General features: G+C 33.3%; 1 protein-coding gene across 19 annotated transcripts in view; it reads right to left on the minus strand.

Annotated features, from left to right (window-relative positions):
* The window catches only part of PCDH15 (protocadherin related 15), a 1,825,172-nt gene that overhangs the window by 9,434 nt on the left and 1,795,316 nt on the right, over nucleotides 1-20,422 (minus strand). For 5 of the 19 annotated variants that reach the window (NM_001142772.2, NM_001142771.2, NM_001142770.3 and 2 more), the window contains 4 exons: nucleotides 19,111-19,329; nucleotides 16,361-16,369; nucleotides 15,189-15,344; nucleotides 12,932-12,937 (listed from right to left, as the gene is read on the minus strand). In NM_001142772.2, the coding sequence (NP_001136244.1) occupies nucleotides 12,932-12,937; nucleotides 15,189-15,344; nucleotides 16,361-16,369; nucleotides 19,111-19,329 (390 nt within the window). Of the gene's footprint in view, nucleotides 1-4,034; nucleotides 4,074-5,790; nucleotides 5,810-7,960; nucleotides 8,027-8,894; nucleotides 11,155-12,931; nucleotides 12,938-15,188; nucleotides 15,345-16,360; nucleotides 16,370-19,110; nucleotides 19,330-20,422 lie in introns of those variants that run through there. The other 14 variants (NM_001142768.2, NM_001142765.2, NM_001142764.2 and 11 more) reach the window with 8 other exon arrangements.

A 20,422-nucleotide genomic window follows, 5' to 3' on the forward strand; every position in this document is an offset into this window, starting at 1 on the left:
GTTTGTCTGTTTTGTTTTTTTGAGACGGAGTCTCGCTGAGTCGCCCAGGCTGGAGTGCAGTGGCGTGATCTTGGCTCACTACAGGCTCTGCCTCCAGGGTTCATGCCATTCTCCTGCCTCAGCCTCCCGAGTAGCTGGGGCTACAGGCGCCCGCCACCACGCCCGTCTAAATTTTTGTATTTTTTTTTTTGGTAGAGACGGGGTTTCACCATGTTAGCCAGGATGTTCTTGATCTCCTGACCTCGTGATCAGCCCCAATCGGCCTCCCAAAGTGCTGGGATTACAGGCGTGAGCCACTGTGCCTGGCCTCTAAATTTAAGGTTTTTAAAGGAAAAAAAGAATTTGTTAGAATAGAGGTCCTTTTAATATTTCCAGTTCTAAACTCTAAACATACTGATTGATTTCTGTCAAACTCTACTTATAGAAAGATGTTTTTCTTGAGATATACATGTGAAAACGGTTTCTGATAACTATCAAATGCAATTTCTCTACATTTCCCTTTTAAATTCTACTTTAACATGTTAAGCAGGTTAAATGACAAAGGTTAACCAAATTCATTTCGCAATGGAATACGAGAAGAGAGGGGGGAAAAGGATAGGTACTCACATGAAAATAGATTGGTACATATTTCTATCATCTATTATTTATAAAAATTTAATTTTGTTGATCCAGGAATAGTAATGAGTCAGGAAATAAAAAGCCCTCCTCTGAGGGCACAAATATGTCATTTGCGAAGTGTGGAAATTTACAGCCTGCATGATTGATATGGATAAAGACCCTCAGTTGTGCTTGGTGTGGCCAACATCATTTTAAAAAATTGAATTCATTACTAACAGTGCTAATCAGAAAATGACACCAACACTGTGGATGTTGGTTTCTCTTGAAAAATAAAAAGATGGAAACACTAGGATCATATTTTTACATTCCAATAATCTAGTTGGCTAGATTAATTTTTACAGCAAGCATGTCCTCTCCTGTTTATGACAGTATCCCCAACGACACTTTTCTACATTCATACCCTAGTCACTATGAAATCTGTCATCTGCTATTGCTTTGTGTCTAATAAACTCCATTCACTTACATTACTACCCTAGATCCTGTAGGTATTGACGCTTGCATTACTTCTTCTATCTTATAATTTTGCCGTTTACAAATACTTTGTGAACCTACTCTAAAGGAATCCAATTTTGATGTTAAAACTAGTATAGTTTATTCACCAGAATAACTAATATTTAGACAAACCCACGATGAACAATACTATGTATTTGCAGGGACACAGAAGAGCTAAAACTCTCATCTAAGTCTGGAGAGATTATTACTTGGTAAAACTTTTTAGAATATGTTTGGCAATAGTACTAAATTAAATATAACCATTTCTTCTTTCACAGAACTTAAATTTGTAGTTAAATACCCAACAGAAACATGTACACTTGTGAGAAAACACATTATTCGTAACAGTCCCAAATTGGAAACAATGCAAAAGTCCATGAGATAAACACGCTACCACATCGCACAACAACATAAATGAATCTCCCAAACAGAATGTTGAGCAATATAGGTCAGGTACCAACGAAATATATTATATCATTCTATTTATATAAATTTCAAGAACTGACTAAAGAATATGTTACAGGCCAGAAGGAAAACTGATATCTAGGTGTTGACATAGAAGAGCTTGAGGGGCATGTGCACTCTGTAAAAATTCATCTAGTTATACAGTATGGTTTATACTTTTCTTATGGGCGTAGGTTTTATTTCAACAAAAATATATTTATTATAGGAAGGTTGAAGTGTGGGGGAAGGAATGAGGTTAAGAAAGACCTGGAAGAAACTGAGACAAAAAGTCTAGATTTAAGTTATTTCAAACTAAGTACTTTGTAAAAACGTTTCCTGGAGGTAAGCTAAGAATTTTAGGGTATGTAAAACTCAGTGTAATGACACTGGTTTAAATGAAGCAAATAGGTCTCAGAACTAATATTTTCAAACTGCTTGACCAATGCACGTTTAATTAAATACATACAGATACTGAGAAAATAACTTCAAACAGTTTTGAAGTAGACTTTTAACAACATTAGGTAATAGTAAGAAACACGAAATAAAAATTTCAAGTAAATATTTATGGAGAAATAATGCAACTGAGTGGATTTTGGATTTTAGAAGTCAGCATCAAAGAATTTTCTTTACATAAATACTTTTTCTTCATTAAGGGAAAATAACGCTCAGCTCTTGCTAGCTACAATGCATATGGCATCAATTGCATTAAAAATGTAATAAGAAGTATAGAAGGGATGCGGATAGGAACCCAGGAAACTCAGCAAGATAGCCCTTGATTCAATCAGTCACTCTGTATTTCTGAGTTGAGTAAAGAGGGATAGGAACTAGCAGAAGGAAATGATCTAAAAGGTCCCTCTTGGATGCTTCCACCACCCATGAATGAAGAGCAGAGCCATCAGTCGTTAAAAAAAAATTTGAGGAAAGAGCCCGGGTGCGGTGGCTCACGCCTGTACTCCCAGCACTTTGGGAGGCCGAGGTGGGCGGATCACAAGGTCGAGAGACAGAGACCATCCTGGCCAATATGGTGAAACCCCGTCTCTACTAAAAATACAAAAATTAGCTGGGCATGGTGGCACACGCCTGTAATCCCAGCTACTCGGGAGGCTGAGGCAGGAGAATCGCTTGAACCCAGGAGGTGGAGGTTGCAGTAAGCCAAGATTATGCCACTGCACTCCAGCCTGGCGATGGAACAAGAATCTGTCTCAAAAAAAAAAAAAAAAAAATCGAGTAAGGAACTGCTGACCAGTCAGATCCATGAGTCAACCTCAACCAACAAGGGAATGCTGGCCCTTTTTGTTGTTCCACACAGTCCCAGTAGACTGTAACAACCCCTTAGTTGATGAATTCTAGATTTTAGAAAAGTATGCAAAGTAACACACTAGTGATTTTCTTGGGTAGATCAAACACTTAATGTAATTTTTAATATTCATTTTTGCTGTCCACACAGGGAAAACATAGAATTAACTTAATATTTAATTATTATAAACATTTATACTGATGCAAAACAAAAACAACAACAATAATTGTAATTTACTGAATTTCTTCCTGTTACATTCCAGTTGTTGAGCTAGGAACTTACACATTTATTAGATATTACTGCTAACATTTTATAGAAGATGAAATTGATGTTCAGCAGATGTGTATCTTGACTAAGGTCTTGCATAAAGTCATTGGTGTTTGGATTTCAACCCTGAGTTTTCCAATTCAAATTTTATGGAGCCCTCTCCATGGAAATTTTTGCTAAAACCTTATAAAAGTTTAATATTCCTGCCACACAACCTCCAGATTTTGGAGAGTAGATTCTAACCAAGAAATGCCTCTTTTTAGCAAAGACAGAATTCTGTACTCAAGGAAAAGGAATAAAATTTTTGTAAGTGGAGCTTATGAAATACTAAATTTGCCGTAAAATTAAAAGTAGGATGTCTGTGTTTTTATTTTTAATTACATATATAAACATAATAAGTAAATACAATAATATATATTTATTATACAAAAAATATCTTTTTCACATTGCAGAAGAAAATGCCATAGGCAATTGGTAATATATGTGTCCAAAAGAAGTATTTTGAATCACATAAAATGATATTTAAGTACAGATATCAGCATTCTGTCTTTAAACTTTGCATAATCTAAATCTGATGTCAGGAATGGATAGATGAATTCAGATTGATTAAGACAAGTAACTGCTGATCGGGTTCATTAATTGCTTCATTCAATGAATGGCCCGTATTTATTAGGAATAATGGGCTTGTCTCATTCCCAGAGAATGAGGCTAAAAATTTGGAAGTTGAGCTACCAGCAACTTCAGGAGGTGATTTCTTGGTTTCTTTTTTTTGAAGTTATTTTGAAAGACTCTTTTCTTTTCCTTTAAAATTATGCCACATTGGCAGACACCCACTCTGCCTACAAGAATTAATACAATAGATCTTAAAGTCACAGTGAAGGCTCAGTGAGGTTGAAAAGAAAATGAAAATTGATACCTCTGGTTTAAGAAGAGAGGGCCTCAGCAGTTGCTGTTGCTGTCAAAGGAAATTAAAATAGAAAAAGATTTAGAAAATAATTCAGATGGGAAAGGTAGATCATGATTGAGAAGAGAGGAAAAAAAGGCGACAGTTTAAAACGTGTTTCCTTGGGATTATTCATTATTCATGTGTTAGCTACCAAAAGCATTAAATATTTTAACTAATTCTTTATATTGGAACATAAAATAAGAATTCATTTGTTATGTTTTAATTTCATCATTCTTCTAGTTAATGACAAATTTAATAGCCTTAATAAACAGGAATCTATACAGATTTTTGTTTTGTTAAGCTCCACAGTACAAAGAGTTATTTATGTTTCTAAAAGTACTGTGTGTCATATAATTACTTTTATCAAGTTTAACCTTGTTTTAAGTTGCCCTTCTTTTTTTCCTTCCCAATCACATTAAATGTGATAAGATTCATTGGGAAGAAGAGCAGAACACACAAAACGATAAAGTTGTAATGTATCTATCAACATATTGAAGACATGCTCTCCATTTCTTCTTCTTACCAAAGTGTGGATTTCTTGCACTAAAACATTAAGTGTGTTTTCAGAATGATTAGGAAAGTCATTAATTATCAGATTTGGTAGGAATTGCTTCCTGCCTCTTCCTTCTTTCACTTGTATTTATTTAAAGCTAATACAGTCACCATTGATCTGTTTCATAATAATACACACTTTAACCAGATAAAAACAAGATACACAATTCAAATTTTGGGGTTAGTAACTCTTTGGAGGGAAAACAGCATATTAAACTAAGTATTGGAAAAGTGGGTAGTGAGGTTCTGGGAGGTAATTCCATCATTGAACCCACTGTTTAAACTGGCTAGTAGAACAACCATTTGACTGAAGGGATATCCTTTTTATAATACAGTTGTTGGTGAGTTAGTTATTTTACTTATAATGAATTCTAAACTACAATCCAATTAGGTCGTATACTTCTCTTGATTGAGAAGCTGTATGCTAAATCAAACTAGGTTCGCAGTGACTTCATTGGTAACATCACCTGCAGTACAGCTGGCCAAATACTACTGGCCAGAATGCCCAGTAAGTTCTCTGCAGACAGAATCAAATGAACACAGTAGAAAACCCAGAGCTTTCTAACATTCTGATTATTTTTAAAATCTTTAGGATCTCAAGCTTTAACCTAGTGATAGGATGGCGCCTTGAACTGGTAAAAAGATCAAAAGTTAAGTAGTCCTATATATATATTCTTTGTTTTTTTTTTCTTTTTCTTTTTTTTTTCTTTTTTTTTTTTTTGAGACAGAGTCTCACTTTTGCCCAGGCTGGAGTGCAGTGGCCTGATCTTGGCTCACTGCAATCTCCGCCTTGCCGGTTCAAGCAATTCTCCTGTCTCAGCCTCCCAAGTAGCTGGGACTACAGGCAGTAATCCTAGTTTCTAAATTATATGTATAGCCTTAGACAAATAAATTTTGGGGAAATGTCAGAATACTGAGTAATAGTAATGCAGAACAAAATACATGTATCCTTAAAAAGGTAAGCAAGTGATCTTTGACCATTGAATAAGAGATTTAAAACCTTAAAACAGGGAAGCAACATATATAAAAGAAAATAAATAGCATAACATACTAATATGTTTTTGCTGAAATCAAAGAAAATAAACTAGTTCAAAAGAATGTACATTAGTCTTGCCTATTACACAAGTATTTTCCTAGTATGCTTGTTACGACATCAACACCATAAAGCCCTTACCTCTGATCCATAACCTCTCCTGCAAGGCAGAAATAAATAAATCAGTATTAAACATCTTAGATTTTCGTTATTAAACAAAATGACTGACAGATAAGGGCTTTAAAAAATGTCTGAGTAAAACTGAGAAGACAATTTCTACTAAACACTATCTCAGTGGGAAGTATATTTTGTGGAATTATCAAAACAGGAAGATCATGGTTTCACACCTGAATTACTAAAATAATGATCAACCCAGAGCCTCGTTCCATATGAGCAACAAAACATGCAAAATCTATTTTATTTCAATAGTGTATAATGACAAACTTTGACTCTATTATTATCAATCAATTTGGATAAAAAATATTATACATGATCTCTGTTATACACAAGTCTTGATATATATACTAATCCTTAGGGGAAGAGATATGCTTTATACATGAAGAATGTAATAAACATAGGATGAAAATTATGTCTATGATTGAATATATTCTTCCAAATGATTGTATGATATTTTCTTTATGTTAATTCTAAAAATAATACAAACTATTGGCTGTCCTTGCAGGGTCAATTATAATATTAGAAATTAAGTGAAGAAGTTTTTAGAGCTTTAATAGCCAAATATTCAATATTACATAAAGATTTATAAAGTTCACACATCACAAGATGGTGAAACGTTTGACTATACTTGAGGGGGAGAAAAGAATATAGAGTTTTCAAAGTTGAATGTTACTAATAAATAATGAAAATGTTCTATGTGTTATTTTTTAAGCAGTTAAAGTGTTAAACTGATGCTGTCAACCATGTTATGTAGAATTAATCAATCAGTGTAATGAAGAATTATTACAAAGAGGCACATATTACAAAGAGGCACATGCATAACTTTCTAAAATCCAACAAAAGAATCTCTGTAGAAAAATTTTTAAAAAATGTTGAGGCCTTCACAAAGTAATTCTACTTATCAGAAAGCATCTTGTATGGTTTATGCATTGTATATTGAAACTGTTTGTAAAAAAAAGTAAATACAATGCTTACTTAAGCTTCTCAATTGATTCTTTAAAATGGTTCTGCAGTGAATTTCGTAGAGTGCTTACACGGTTCTGCCAATATTTATAAGACTGATAATTCTTCCAGAGCCTTTAGAAATTGTAGACATTTTCAACTTTTACCAAATTTATATTTTTCAGAAATAATTCAGGTAGGGAAAGCTCATATTTAGGTTTAAACAATGACAACTGAGTCATATACCTTATAAAATATCCAACCAAAGCCAGGCTTTATTTTTTAGACGATTTCTTCTGACTCCTTTTATTAGCAATGTTTTCCATCAATGTGAAAAATAAAATATCAATAGATAAACTATAACTCAATGTTAATGTTTCCATTCACATTTTTGTTGCCTTTTATTTGGTTATTTGTATTGCTTGTCTTGGCTCAAAGGCAGAAAGTTACTTGAAAGAGGTACATAACAGAACTACTACTTTACCTGTGTGCTTTCAAAACATGACTATTGATACTTATAAAGCCAGTTCATATAATATCGATGCACCTCTTTATGCAATTCATAATCAATTGTATTATTTATTTTATATCATGTATATGTATCACTGTTTACTTTTAACAATAAGGACAAATGTTTGGTCATCTTTCTTAAGTCTTTATTTAAAAGGTATCTAATAATTTCTTATGCATTAATGAGATCATAATAAATATTGAGAAAAAAGTGTTACTTTTCTCCTCTCTGGTTGTCAGGTTGTAAGCAGTTAGGGTTTGAGAGGAGGAAGAATATTTAGGCTTGTGTACTCAAATAATACTAAAAGGTCTCATATAGAAGATATTTTAACTGACTTTTATAATGTATCATAATGACATTAGGAATCTCCAAATACAATGTGTCAGAAAAAGACTGGCTTAAATATAAAACACAGGTATCTATGTTTCAATTAAAAAGTACAGAATAATAACAAAACTTTCAGATTATGTAAATAGTAAAATGTTATAGAAAAAGGCAATATAACAATTTAATAGGGCTGTAGGTACCTACACAAATATGTTTTTTGGACTTCTCTTATTTCTTTTGTTACTATTTATAGATTTATCAAGAAATTATAAATTTTACATTTGCAAAAAGCTGGTGTAGATATTAGCTTAGAAAAGACACACTCACATTAAAGGCTTACACAATTGTGAATACCTTGTCAGAGTCCGCCAAATAGCACAAGTTCTCATGCATATGACCAGCTGCCAACAAAAACTCCAACTGAAGTTTTTCAGTGAAAGAAAGAAAAAAATCACGTTCAAGAACCCCAAGAAAGTAATTACTCTTGATTTCGATGAAAAGATTTTGAAGCAGATGGGCTAATAAAAATAATCAGATTTACAGATTGTTTTCTGTCTGATCTTGGTAACTAGGAATGCCAGGTCAAATTATTGAAGAAATATGAGGGATGAAGAAAACCTCTGAAATAACGCATTGAAGGGGGCTCTCAACTTATATTCATATACTTCCAATAGTAATTATCAGGTATGAGTTTTGCCTGTATTTTAGAATTGTACCCTTCTCCATGCAAACTTATATCTTCTAAAATCTTAAAACTCCAGAGTGTTTTATAAGTATTTGTTTTAAACACTTACATGTGCATTCAAAATGTGAACTTCCAGTAAATAAAACCTATTCCATGTGTTTCATGGGAAAAACAAAGTAATTACTTGATGGTCACATATTATACATTATATACTAATATTGAAAGTATAGTTTCCTTAGGAAGGAAGGGACATAGATAGTATCTAGCTTAAGTGATGCTGTTCGAATTTAACAATTGGAGCGCTAAGAACTATTACTACAACTACAGAAATCTCTTCCCAGAGTATACAGTTTTATTTTCTTTGTTTAAAACAAAGAGCAGAAACCTAGGTAAAAGAGTGATTGATAGTTCAGCAAATATCACTTCTCTTGGTTTTTCTATTTAAGCTTTTTATATTTCATTTATTAAACTGAAGATCATACTTTCTTTAAAAAGGAATCTTATGAAAAAATTTAAATTAGGGAGATGATTAATAATATGAACAAACAAAATTAAACAGCACTTTTTAAGCATCTGTTGGAACAATGAAATGCCTTACAAAAGTCAACGACTCAAGATTTATTTTCATTATAAAGAAGGGAAGGGAAAGCACAATGAGAAATAAAGAGAATAAGACAGCAACTGAAAAAGTATAAGATTTATCAAATCCATAAGCATACTACTAAATCCATAAGCATACTACTAAGATAAAAGCAAGTCAGAGTAAAAGATGTTCTTATCAGAAAACAGATGACTACATGTTATAGCACCTGAGATTTATTTTGAAATACCTTATGTCTGTCATCTCCTACAATCTAGGTACATTATATTTTACTTCGGTAGTATTTCTTCTTACCAAATACATAGGCTTCAAGAAAAAACAGAACCTATCAATCATATCAGTTTTAACTTATTTGTAACAGTCTGCTTTTTTCTTGGAACATTCATATAAAACTACGATCAAAAACTAAATGTAAATGTTACTGCATCCACATGATAGACATGCCTTTGGTTTAAGTTGGGTATCTAATTTTCATGCCCACATATTCCCACTAAAAAAGAGATTAAAATTACTTACTTTTCAAATAAATGTAGAACAAATTATGCTACTTTGTAGTTTTTAAAAAGTAAGGTAAATCTATTATATGAGTGAGTTAGTAGTGATGAGGTTAATATCTTTTTAAATTAAAAACGAGAAAAAAAACTGCATTTCATTGAATTTGGGGTAAAATAATAGAGTCTTCTTTGACGTTCAAATTTGATGTTCAACTTGAAGACTATGATCAACAAGAGGTTTGCCCGACTAAAATAAGAAAAGCAACATTACAGTGAAGTAGATTGACTGTGAGATTGTTTTTCAGTTCCCTCGACAATATTGTTCAAACTCCCCTTGTTTTGTTCAGATGTGATTTCCATATTTGTTACTTCTGAAGGGCACATAGTTTGAAGTTCTGAAACATTTGTGCGTAGATAGTTTTTTTCTATTTGACTGTACATGTTAGCTACTGATTTTTCAAGTTCTGCTAAGTTTTTAACGTGTCTGAGGATGCCTTTTGGTTCTCTCTGAGGGTCTGTTTTACACACTGTCGTTGTTGATAGCTGTGTCATAGAGGACTTAATTTTCTCGGCAGGCATCAAGTTGGTCGTGCATTTAACACCTGTTATACAGACACACTCTGTGGACAGAAATGAAGCTGAAGGAGGTGGAGGGCAAGGAATAGAAGGAGGTGGTGGAGGAAGAGGAGTTGGAAATGGAGGTAGAAGAGGTGGTGTTGGGGGACCAGACGTTGAAACGGAAAGTGGAAAAAATGTAGGAGGAGGAAGAGGAAGAGGGATAGAAGGAGGAGAGGGAGGAGGACAAAAAAGAGAAAAAGGAGAAATGTCAGGAGGAGGAGCAAGAGGAGCAGGAGCAGGAGGAGGAGAAGGAGGAGAAATAGGAGGAGGAGGGGGAAGGGGACAGGCAGAAGGAGAGATGTTTGGTGGATGGGCAAAATTTTCAAAAATATTTCTTTCGGTTTCAATAGGTAACATACAAATAGGTGTCTCTCTCCTAGAGAGTGAAGAATGTAAAACACAAGGCCTTGAAGGAGAAAGTTCCAAGGAACACTCAGCAGGAGAACTGATGACATTAGGTTCTGATTTGAGTTCCACAGTTCTTGAAACAGTTGGCAAAGTGGAGAATGAGAAGTGAGGCCTGGGAAAGCAAAATGAAGAGTCTGAAGAGAGAGATTTCAACTGTTCTGTTCCTTCTATCATCAGTGTTTCACCTTGCCTTATTTCCTCTTTCTCTGTCAAATTTGCCTCTTCAGTTGTAAGCAATGGATTGCTGCTACCTCTTTTGTTTGTACAGATTCCAGTGTTTTCATTTTCAGCTTTCTGCCTGGTGCCTTGCCACTGCTGCAGATCTATGATCTCTGGTCTATTTGGAACTTTCCTCATCAGCCTCCTGGGTAAGCTGACTGACTGACTCCACAGCCTCTGAATCTTTTCTCTTGGGCCCCTCAGAGACTTACTCTTGGCTTGTATTTTGGGTGAAAATGGGTCTACAAAATCTGTTCTCTGTGAAATGTCTGAATTTGTTGATACTTGACTTATGTTTTCCTTATAAAGGGGATTATGGGCACTTAAGTCATCCTCATCAGATAGAAATGTGAATTTTCTTGCAGACTTCAGTTTGTTGCTCTTAAGTGATCCGTCTACATGAGCTGACTTGTGAGCCTCAATAGTATTGGAAGAAAAGGGCATCACAACTTGTTGATGTTTCCTGTCTTCTGAGACTGAGTTATTTCCCCTGCTTTGTTGAAAATGGTAGAGAAGGAAAAGACTTGAAAGAAAAGAAGATAATGAAATGTAAGGAAACAAGTTGTGACACAGCTTTCATGAGAAAGATGTTTTTATGGCTCTCATTACTATTAAATACTTAAAAACATCAAAGGCCAAACAACACTAACCTACTAAAGCAAGACATTATTTTAATTCCCTGCTCTTAGAAAGGCAGGGCAGAAAAATCTTAGAGTTGTGAGAAGAATGAGAAATGTAAATGAAAAAAAAAGTACTCATCTCTAGATTATTTTGGAAGAGAGTATTTTTTGTTTTTGTTTTTTTTCAGCTAGTGTGATACAGCAAAGCATCCATGTCCACACGTAACAGTTCCCTTATGCACAAATCACAGTTCTTCCCATTGCAGAACACCATCCTTGCCTGAGGATGCTCAGGGCTGCCTGTTACGCATAGAAGATTCTTAGCTGTATCTGATTCAGTACTTCTGTCCTAGAGCCAAAAGTAATCTCCTCTCTGAGCCATCATGTGGAATATCCTGTTCTCCAAATTAAGAGAATTAAAATCACCAAGGACAGATGGGAGTTTGTCTCACAGCCCAAAAATCACAATTGAGAAATTGAATGTATGCTAGAATTGTGACAGAGGAGTTTTTCTTCTGTTTAAATTTTGTGCTTAATTAGTTTTAAAACCTTATACATAATACCAATCAGGAAAAATTGTTTTAAAACCTTATAAATAGTACCAATCAGAAAAGATGTTGTCAGTAATTTCTTAGACTGATCTGGATCAAATTTTACTTAAAACTCACCTTAACAAAAAGATTGATGCTAAAAAAAAAAATCACTTTTTGATATCACTGAAAGGCTTACTTATGCACGGAAACTGAATCATAGGTAGTTGTGAGTCATAAATAAAGTTGCATACATCAAAGATCACAAATTAAATGGCTCTAAGGAAAGCATTTGGACCCTTCTCCCAGGATTGTTGGCTGATTGATAGGTGGTTCCGAATTCTCATTAGCTTTTACTCTCAAGCCAAAACAGAATAACATTTATTTTAGTTACTGCTTAATATTTACCCACTTAGCAGGAATGAAATAAAAAAGAAATATTCTGAATAGAAATTAACTAGCCATATTGAAAAATTAGGGTGATAGTTTAGGCAACAAAATAATAAAGCCACAGTTGTTAATGTGTCTTTTGGCAAAGATACGAACTATAAGAAAGAGAAAGAAACAATTCACACAGGTAGACCTGGAGCATCAAGCCTACTTGGACAACAAAGAAAATTCAGACAATCTGGACTAATCAGAGTGCAAACAAACACTTTTACTCTTCGAATCTTGAAAAGTATTTTTCAAATATGGCACGAACAACTGGGATTGATATTATATACTGGTTGTTTTTGTAAACAAACATTTGTTCGTGGTTTGATTTCTCTTGGTAAAGCACCCAATGGATATAACAATATCACATCACTTTGACTAAAAGAAATCTATAAATAGGTTTCTATTTATAGATTTGTAAATTTTAAGTTCTTAAAATTTAAGAATTTTTAAAAACTAATTTAAAAAAATTAAAAACAAGGAGAATTTTGAAATTCCTTTCAGTAGGCACAGGTACCATCACAGCGAACACATGTTTTAAGCTCATGCCATCAAAAGGAAATTGGGTGTGGAAGACAAAACTTTCCTTTTAACAGTAAGTGAGTCTGTGGCAAAAGATGAAGATCACTGTATTTACAGTACAACAGCATTTTAATCTGTTCTATTGTATCTATTTTTCTAACGCTCTTCTATTAGAGTGATATTATTTACTTACTTATGCCTATGTATCCACAGGTGAGAAACAGAAAACATGTGATAGAAAAAAAGAAGTTTTTACTAGAGTTAATTTAAAACAATTCTGAAAATATGAGCAGGAACTTGCTTTAAACAAACACTTAGTACGTATATCAAAAAAAAGGCATGTTTTTATATTTTGTTATTATTCATATGAATGACATTTAATAGTAGATGAAATCAAATGACATTATTTGAATGTCTTTTCACAGAAAATTGTATCTAATAAAGTCTGTTTACTATACATAGATAAAAATTCACTTCTATTAAACCTGGATGATGCCAATCCTAAAATAAAAATTTTAAATGAGAGTTTAAAAATTGCTTCTATGATGTCTTAACTCTGTAAAACTGGTTAATGCACACTGACTTTTAAAGTAGATATATTTTGTTTGGAAGAAAGTAAATATACAACTACTATGATGACAATTAATTACAAAGTAATTATAGCATTCATAGGAAGTTATCATACGAAGTTATTACTTTGTGAAGTAGTTTTTCCAAAATGATCTTTGACTTTGTTCTTTTTAAGATAATTGATAATAATCATTTAAAACTAATTCATTTTCTAGTAACTTAATGCTTAGAATTCCTGTAAAAAGTTCTTGAATAGATAGATAGGTTAAACATTTACTAAAGATAAGATAATTAAATATGTAGAACTTACTTAAACTATTTCAATGAATACATATATTACAATTGCAAAATCTACTGAGTCTACTACAATTGTTCAAGTAAAAATAATCTTAGGTATTGCTATTTGAAAATTACTGTCATCAAACTATGCTGATTCCAGATGATGTTATAGTATACCTGTTCTTATTAATTTAAAATGAATACATAATTCATTAATTTCATATATAAACACACAACTTTACACATAATCCTTTTTTTTAGTTTCTAAAGATCTTTGCTTGAGAGAGGTCATTAACATACTCAAATAGAATCAAATCATATTGGCTCAATTCCTACATTCACCAATAATTAATTACAAAAGAAACAATCATTTTTCAACTTACAAAAAAGGTGAAAGCATATATCTAAAGCATGAACCCTGTATTATGTCCTTATTTTGGAAATAGAATGTCATGCTTTAACCTATTATAAATTCAGATTTTGTGTTAAAATAATAGCATTAAGATCAATTTTAACATTAATACGACTATCCTAAACAAAACCTTGTATAACATTATTAATATGGTAAGTAACCTGAACACATTTGTTTAAAACCAGCTTTTCCATTACCAGGTCAATTTCATGATTTTTTAGGCTTTTCTTATTGCTACTAGTAACTGATACGGATGTCACATGTAATAACATGTTATAGTCCTTCTACTCCATCAAATTCCAGTTAATAAAAGGTTTTCTGGATTTAATTGTCATATTCAAAATTGTAAAATATTCTTGGTTGTTTTACATATCATGTCCAAAAGCAGTTATTCTTGAATTTTTAAAATACTGACAAACTGAACATCACCATAAGGAATCCAATTATGAGGGTAGCATCATTATACAAGCAACTGTGAGGTCTTTTAACAGTTACCAGTGTCTTTCAAAAATGTATGATTTTTTAAATAGTGACTACAAGTTTCAAATCGTGCAGGAGAAATATTCGGTAATCACCGCAGTCTGAGAGTAATAAAGTGAAAAAAGCATTTTCTAAGTAGTTGGGAATTTAATATAGAAATTCTGTAATTTCATTGAGATTTTAATTTCTATATCATATAACGTCCTAAAAGTAGTATCTCAGAAAATACTACGATTTTAAACCAGAGAATTTGGTTTTGATTACCAAATAGGGATCGGTTTGGATACCTAATCAGGATTACTATTTTATGATTGTGCTTTATTTCTCTCGTCTCCTATGCAAAAATATATTTTTCAGAATCTATTTATATATTTATACATATATACATATACATTATATATATGTAAAAATGCATGACCCTGAGGATTGAGATATTAAATATTATACTCAAGCTATAAATGTGCAATTGTCTCCTGAAGTTGAATTCTGCTTTTCTCTTAGCTTTCTTTAATTTCTGGTTTGGTTTTGGCTATTATTTTTCAACTTAACCTTTCTTAGATTTTCGTCTTAACAAATTTTCTCTTGAAAATAATAGAATAAAATAAATAGTCCATGTAGGCATTTCCACATCAGATTGAAATTAAATACTCACCACACAGAATTCAGTAAAACCCAACTACTTCTCAGAGTTCCTGAACGGTCTACTTACATTGAGCTGTCTCCAAGTTCTTCATAGAGATGCGCACCTGGCGGAGGCGGCGGCGGCGGCGGGGGCGCTGCCACTGGTGCAGGAGCCGGCACTGCTGGTTTAGCCGCGGGTAATGCGGCCTGAATTCGTGCAGTCTTTGTACACTCAGCTTGACGTCTTGGATAAAGTAAGGATGGCTTGTAAAACTCATTTTAGAAATCATAATGCTTATCAATAAGCCACCTTTTAATAATGGGGTCCAGTTATCAGGGGAACCCACTAAAATTATTTTACACAAACATCAATTTATAAACAGATGTAATTACAAAAGCATCCCCACAGGGTATCATTTGCATATAATCCCTGCTTTGTTCTTGAAAATAGCTATCTCTTGAATAAGGGGTAGAATTCAGCAGACATATTTGCAAATTAAATTAAATGATAATCTTAGAGAAAGCAAAATTTTAATTAAAATGGGATGGATAATTAATTGGTAGTTTAATGAATCTCTTTCATAAGATGAGGCATATTAAAGATAAGATAGATAATTTTTCTTTATTATTTGTCTTTTAAAGTTATTTGAAATGATTTGAAACATTTTTGACGTTATTTCACAGAGGCTGTACACACATGTACAAGGGAAATTTGGTTAGCTTGTATATCCTTTAAGATTCCTAGGAATGCCTAGGCCGGGCACGGTGGCTCATGCCTGTGATCCCAGCTACTGGGGAGGCTGAGGCAGGAGAATCGCTTGAACCCGGGAGGCGGAGGTTGCAGTGAGCCCAGATCACGCCATTGCACTCCATCCTGGCCAACAAGAGCAAAAAGTCCGTCTCAAAAAAAAAAAAAAAAAAAAAAAAAAAAAAAAAATTCCTAGGAATGCCTGTGATTCTCATGTTACAGCTACACTGCTGTTTTTGGATTTCCTGGACACTGATTAATTTCTTCCTCAAAACCAAGATGTTACAGGATGGAAGCTATAGGCAAACTATCTTTTTCACATTTGTGCAAGTTACGTCCAATTGTCTAAAATCAGCTCAATTCTATATATATCAAACCAAGAAATAAACTATTACAAACGCAAAACAAGGGAATAAGATGTGGTTCTGAGCAGGCTGACTTGATTGATATAATCTCGGGTTTCTCTTTTCCTATTACATGAAAAGGATGTGTAAAATGTTAATTATACTTACACTTTAAACCTGTTTGGGAAAGCAAGAGTAAGAAAAATAGAAAGCTACATTAGAACTATTGCATTAATAACATTTTAACATCTGATTTATTCTAAATCATGAATAATTTATACGTTAAATTCATAATGACAGAGTTAATGACAGACTAAGAAAACTAAGGATATCAATTCAAAAGGTGAAAATAGTATCGTTACCGTTAGAGTCATTCAAGCCATTAAAATATCCATAACAGAAAAATAAAGAAATGAACTACATAGAATAAGAAAACTGGATTAAAATGTAAATGTGAGAATTTCAACTCTAGTGGAAAAATGGAATATTAAAGATGACCTGACCTTTATAATTGGCTTCTTGGTTTACCCTGCTTGAAGAATATTACAGGAATGGAGAGAGGTAGCAAGCCCTGATTATACTCTTGGCTTCACTTTGAAGCTGAAGCTACAATTGGAAGGTCCTACTCTTGGGTAATAAATTTATGACAGTTTTTACATATTTGCTTTTTAGTTTCCATTCATAGAAAAGTTCAAAGGCATATCATTATATAAAAGGATAGCTATTCATTCTTACCTTATTTGCAAGCAAATATCAAGGTACAAATGTTAGGTCTTTAAATATTAGAATTTTACTTTGCTATGTGAGCAGAGAAAAACTCATTTTGTTTAATTATGTTAATCTATAAAAAGCAGTAACTAAATTCATATGGTATTGAGCTGATTATCAAACTAAAGGAGAATTAAATAATGCGTCTATAAATTATTTAAATATTAAACATCTCAAGTATTTGTTGTATTTCAGACTACCTTGTATAACATCCAGAGCGCTTCAGTTTTGATCATTGCATACTGTGCCAAATACAAGAATTTTTCTCACTGATTTGCTTGCTAGCAGGATATAATAAAGCTCCTTTGGAAAATAGTTAAGTGTAAAAAGATAACTGGTAATACGGAATGGATTTAACATTATAATTAATAATGGGTTGATGGCTTAATAATTTAAAACAATTTGTTCAGTATCAATTTTGTTCATCAGCTTTAGATTTAGCATATCAATTGATTGGTTAAGGACACATTAAGCTCCAGTATATCAACCTTAATGCTGTATTTGCAACTTCACATTGCTTTTGAGGTAGAAAATATTTCTGTAGTTTCAGGTTGGAATTACTTGAAAAGTAATGACCTGCTTGAAAAATATTAAAGGAATGGAGTCATGCAGCAAGCCCTAGTTATACTCTTGGCCTCACTTTGAAAACGGAGCTAGAATTGGAAGGTCCTACTTCTGTGTAACGAATTCATGATACTTTTTTTCATATTTGCTTTTTAGTTTCCATTCATAGCAAAGTTCATTCAGAGCATACATTTGGATTTTCAGGTTGGAATTACCTTACCTTATTCAATTCACAAGAAAATTTTAAGTATTTGAGAACAAAGATGACAGTTTAAGAATACATAAGGACTATTGGCTGGGCGCGGTGGCTCACACCTGTAATCCCAGCACTTTGGGAGGCTGAGGTGGGCGGATCACGAAGTTAGGAGTTTGAGACCAGCCTGACCAACATGGTGAAACCCCGTCTCTACTAAAAATACAAAAATTAGCCAGGTGTGGTGGCGCATGCCTGTAATCCCAGCTACTCAGGAGGCTGACACAGGAGAACAGCTTGAACCTTGGAGGCAGAGGTTGCAGTGAGCTGAGATCACACCACTGCACTCCAGCCTGGGCGACAGAGCCAGACTCCGTCTCCAGGAAAAAAAAAAAAAAAGTAAAGAATACATAAGAACTATTTTAGTATTTCCTCTGTAGGTAGTTTAAATGATGAATAGCAGTTCTACCATTATTTCTTATTGTTTATTACATAAAGTAATTTACATGATTTATTATTACTGTCTGCTATTTATTTTCTTTTTGTGGCACACTCAGGGCTACTTCTCTTCTTAATCAGCTCCCCAATTTTTTCAAGTCATTGTCTATAGAAATATACTTAAAATGTGTGGCTCTCTATCACAAAGCTTCCCCAGACCTAGTGTCAAAGAATATATTACTAACCTACTTCAAATATGGATGTTTAAATTAGTGATAATTACTTGACTACTCTAGATAAGTTAAATACAATTTTAAAATATGGATATTGTCAATGGATGCACTTGACTGCAGGAACCAGAAAAATTAAGAGCCTGCACAGCCAGAACATGCTGTCAAATAGTACACTAAAAACTCTGGCAAAGCACCCAGGAAGGAAGAAACCACATAGAAAATTACATCTTACATGCTATGATTTTACAATGCTTTTGCTAACACTGTGATCATTTGCACAAAGGCAAATTTAACAGTTTGGATAAAAACCTATCATGACAATGTCGCGAAGTTATTGACCTTCCTTTGGAGCTGGGCAGAGTGGGTATCCGCATATGACATTCCATTGCTTTTACCCCAGGATACCTGTTACCTTCTCTCCCAAGTTGGCTCTTAAACAAAAGAAGAGCATAAACAAAGCCACAGGAACTAAGGTGATATTTCTATTGAAAGAGACCGAATTAGAATCACAGGAATATTGGGCCATCAGTGAAAAATGTACTGGGAGTTTGTACTGTTTTCCTTTTGAAGAAAATCATTTGGTACGAGATAGACAGACAGATAAAGCAATCTCAGAGTAGTTGCACCATCAATATTTTACAACGCAAAGCCATGTTACCAGAGATGGTTTTCTGCAATGACTTCTGAGGAACTATCCAGGTTTACCATCCTTGAATACTTACTGTCTGTAGCTGACCAAAACCACCAAGATGGCAGGAATGCAGCAGAGGATGATGATGAAGGCCAGAGCCAACAAGGCCCCTTCTGTGTATCCTAGACTTTCTCCTCTCTTTTTAATGCTGGTCACTGCCTCTGGAGTCCGGATCTCCAGAATGCGTCCTCCTTCCCCATAATACGGCTGAAAGTCTTTATTGATATCAAGTAGTTTGCCATCCAAAAATCTTTATTGTTAGATAAATAGTAAAATTAATGATGCTAGCAGAGAAAGAGCATTTTAAAAATAAAATCTTTTTGTAAGATCTTTCAATATTTTCTCTAATTGAAACACAAGCTGAGTCAGAAGTCTCATGAATAATAAGAAAAGCATATATAAAAAGCATAAGCAATAAAGAAGAGGAGTAATTACACATCTGTATAGAAATATCAAAAATATTTTAAAACACAGCTCTTGATCTGCTTATAGACTTAAAAAATCTAATTATCAGTATCATTAAGCTTAATATTACTGTGTCAAAATAATTTAACAACATTTTAGATGGAATAAAATATAATATCCTAAATTATATACCATAGTTTATATTTATGCATTTTATCTCCTTGGGTCCTGTAACCTTCAGGATAACCCTGTAAAGATCAAACATTACAATACTGATTTATTGCAGGCCAAAAAGCTATACAGTTATAAAAACAAATCTGAGGCACCAAACTAAGATTTCAGACTCAAACTCTGTATTTGTTTGCCATAACACCATCTTAAAAGTAAACATTCTCAAGTTTCAAACCAAAAGAATGTTTTATGGTCAAATGGTGAAGACATTTAAAAGACCCTTCTGCCTAGGAAAAAAAGACTAAATAAATGATGCGAGTAGTATATCAGTGTTGTAAGAATGACAGGAAGTGGTAGTCAATGTAATTCCTTCCTCTAAATAATGCAATTCCAACTATGAGTCTTGAATTTTGGAAGAGAATCAAGGAATAATTATTCCTAATCTTATGAGATTGAAAAAATTTGTTATGTATTTAATATCATAATTAGCAGGTGATTTTTTAAACAATTCCTTGGGAACTTTTGAACAGTCCCTTATAAGCTCTACATATTGATGCAGCAACTGTGTTCTTAATACAACAACACCATAAAGGTCAAACGTCTTACTATAGAATATTGGAAAACAAAAATAGTTCAAGAAAAACACAATTACTCATAGTCCCATGATCTACAGACAGTCATAATCACTTCTAACATCTTGGTATATTTAAGTCTAATATTTTTTTGGAGGGGTGATATTAAATATTTTATATACTTGAGTATACTGC

The sequence above is a fragment of the Homo sapiens genome, chromosome 10 (assembly GCF_000001405.40).
Source record: "Homo sapiens chromosome 10, GRCh38.p14 Primary Assembly".
NCBI lineage: Eukaryota > Metazoa > Chordata > Mammalia > Primates > Hominidae > Homo > Homo sapiens.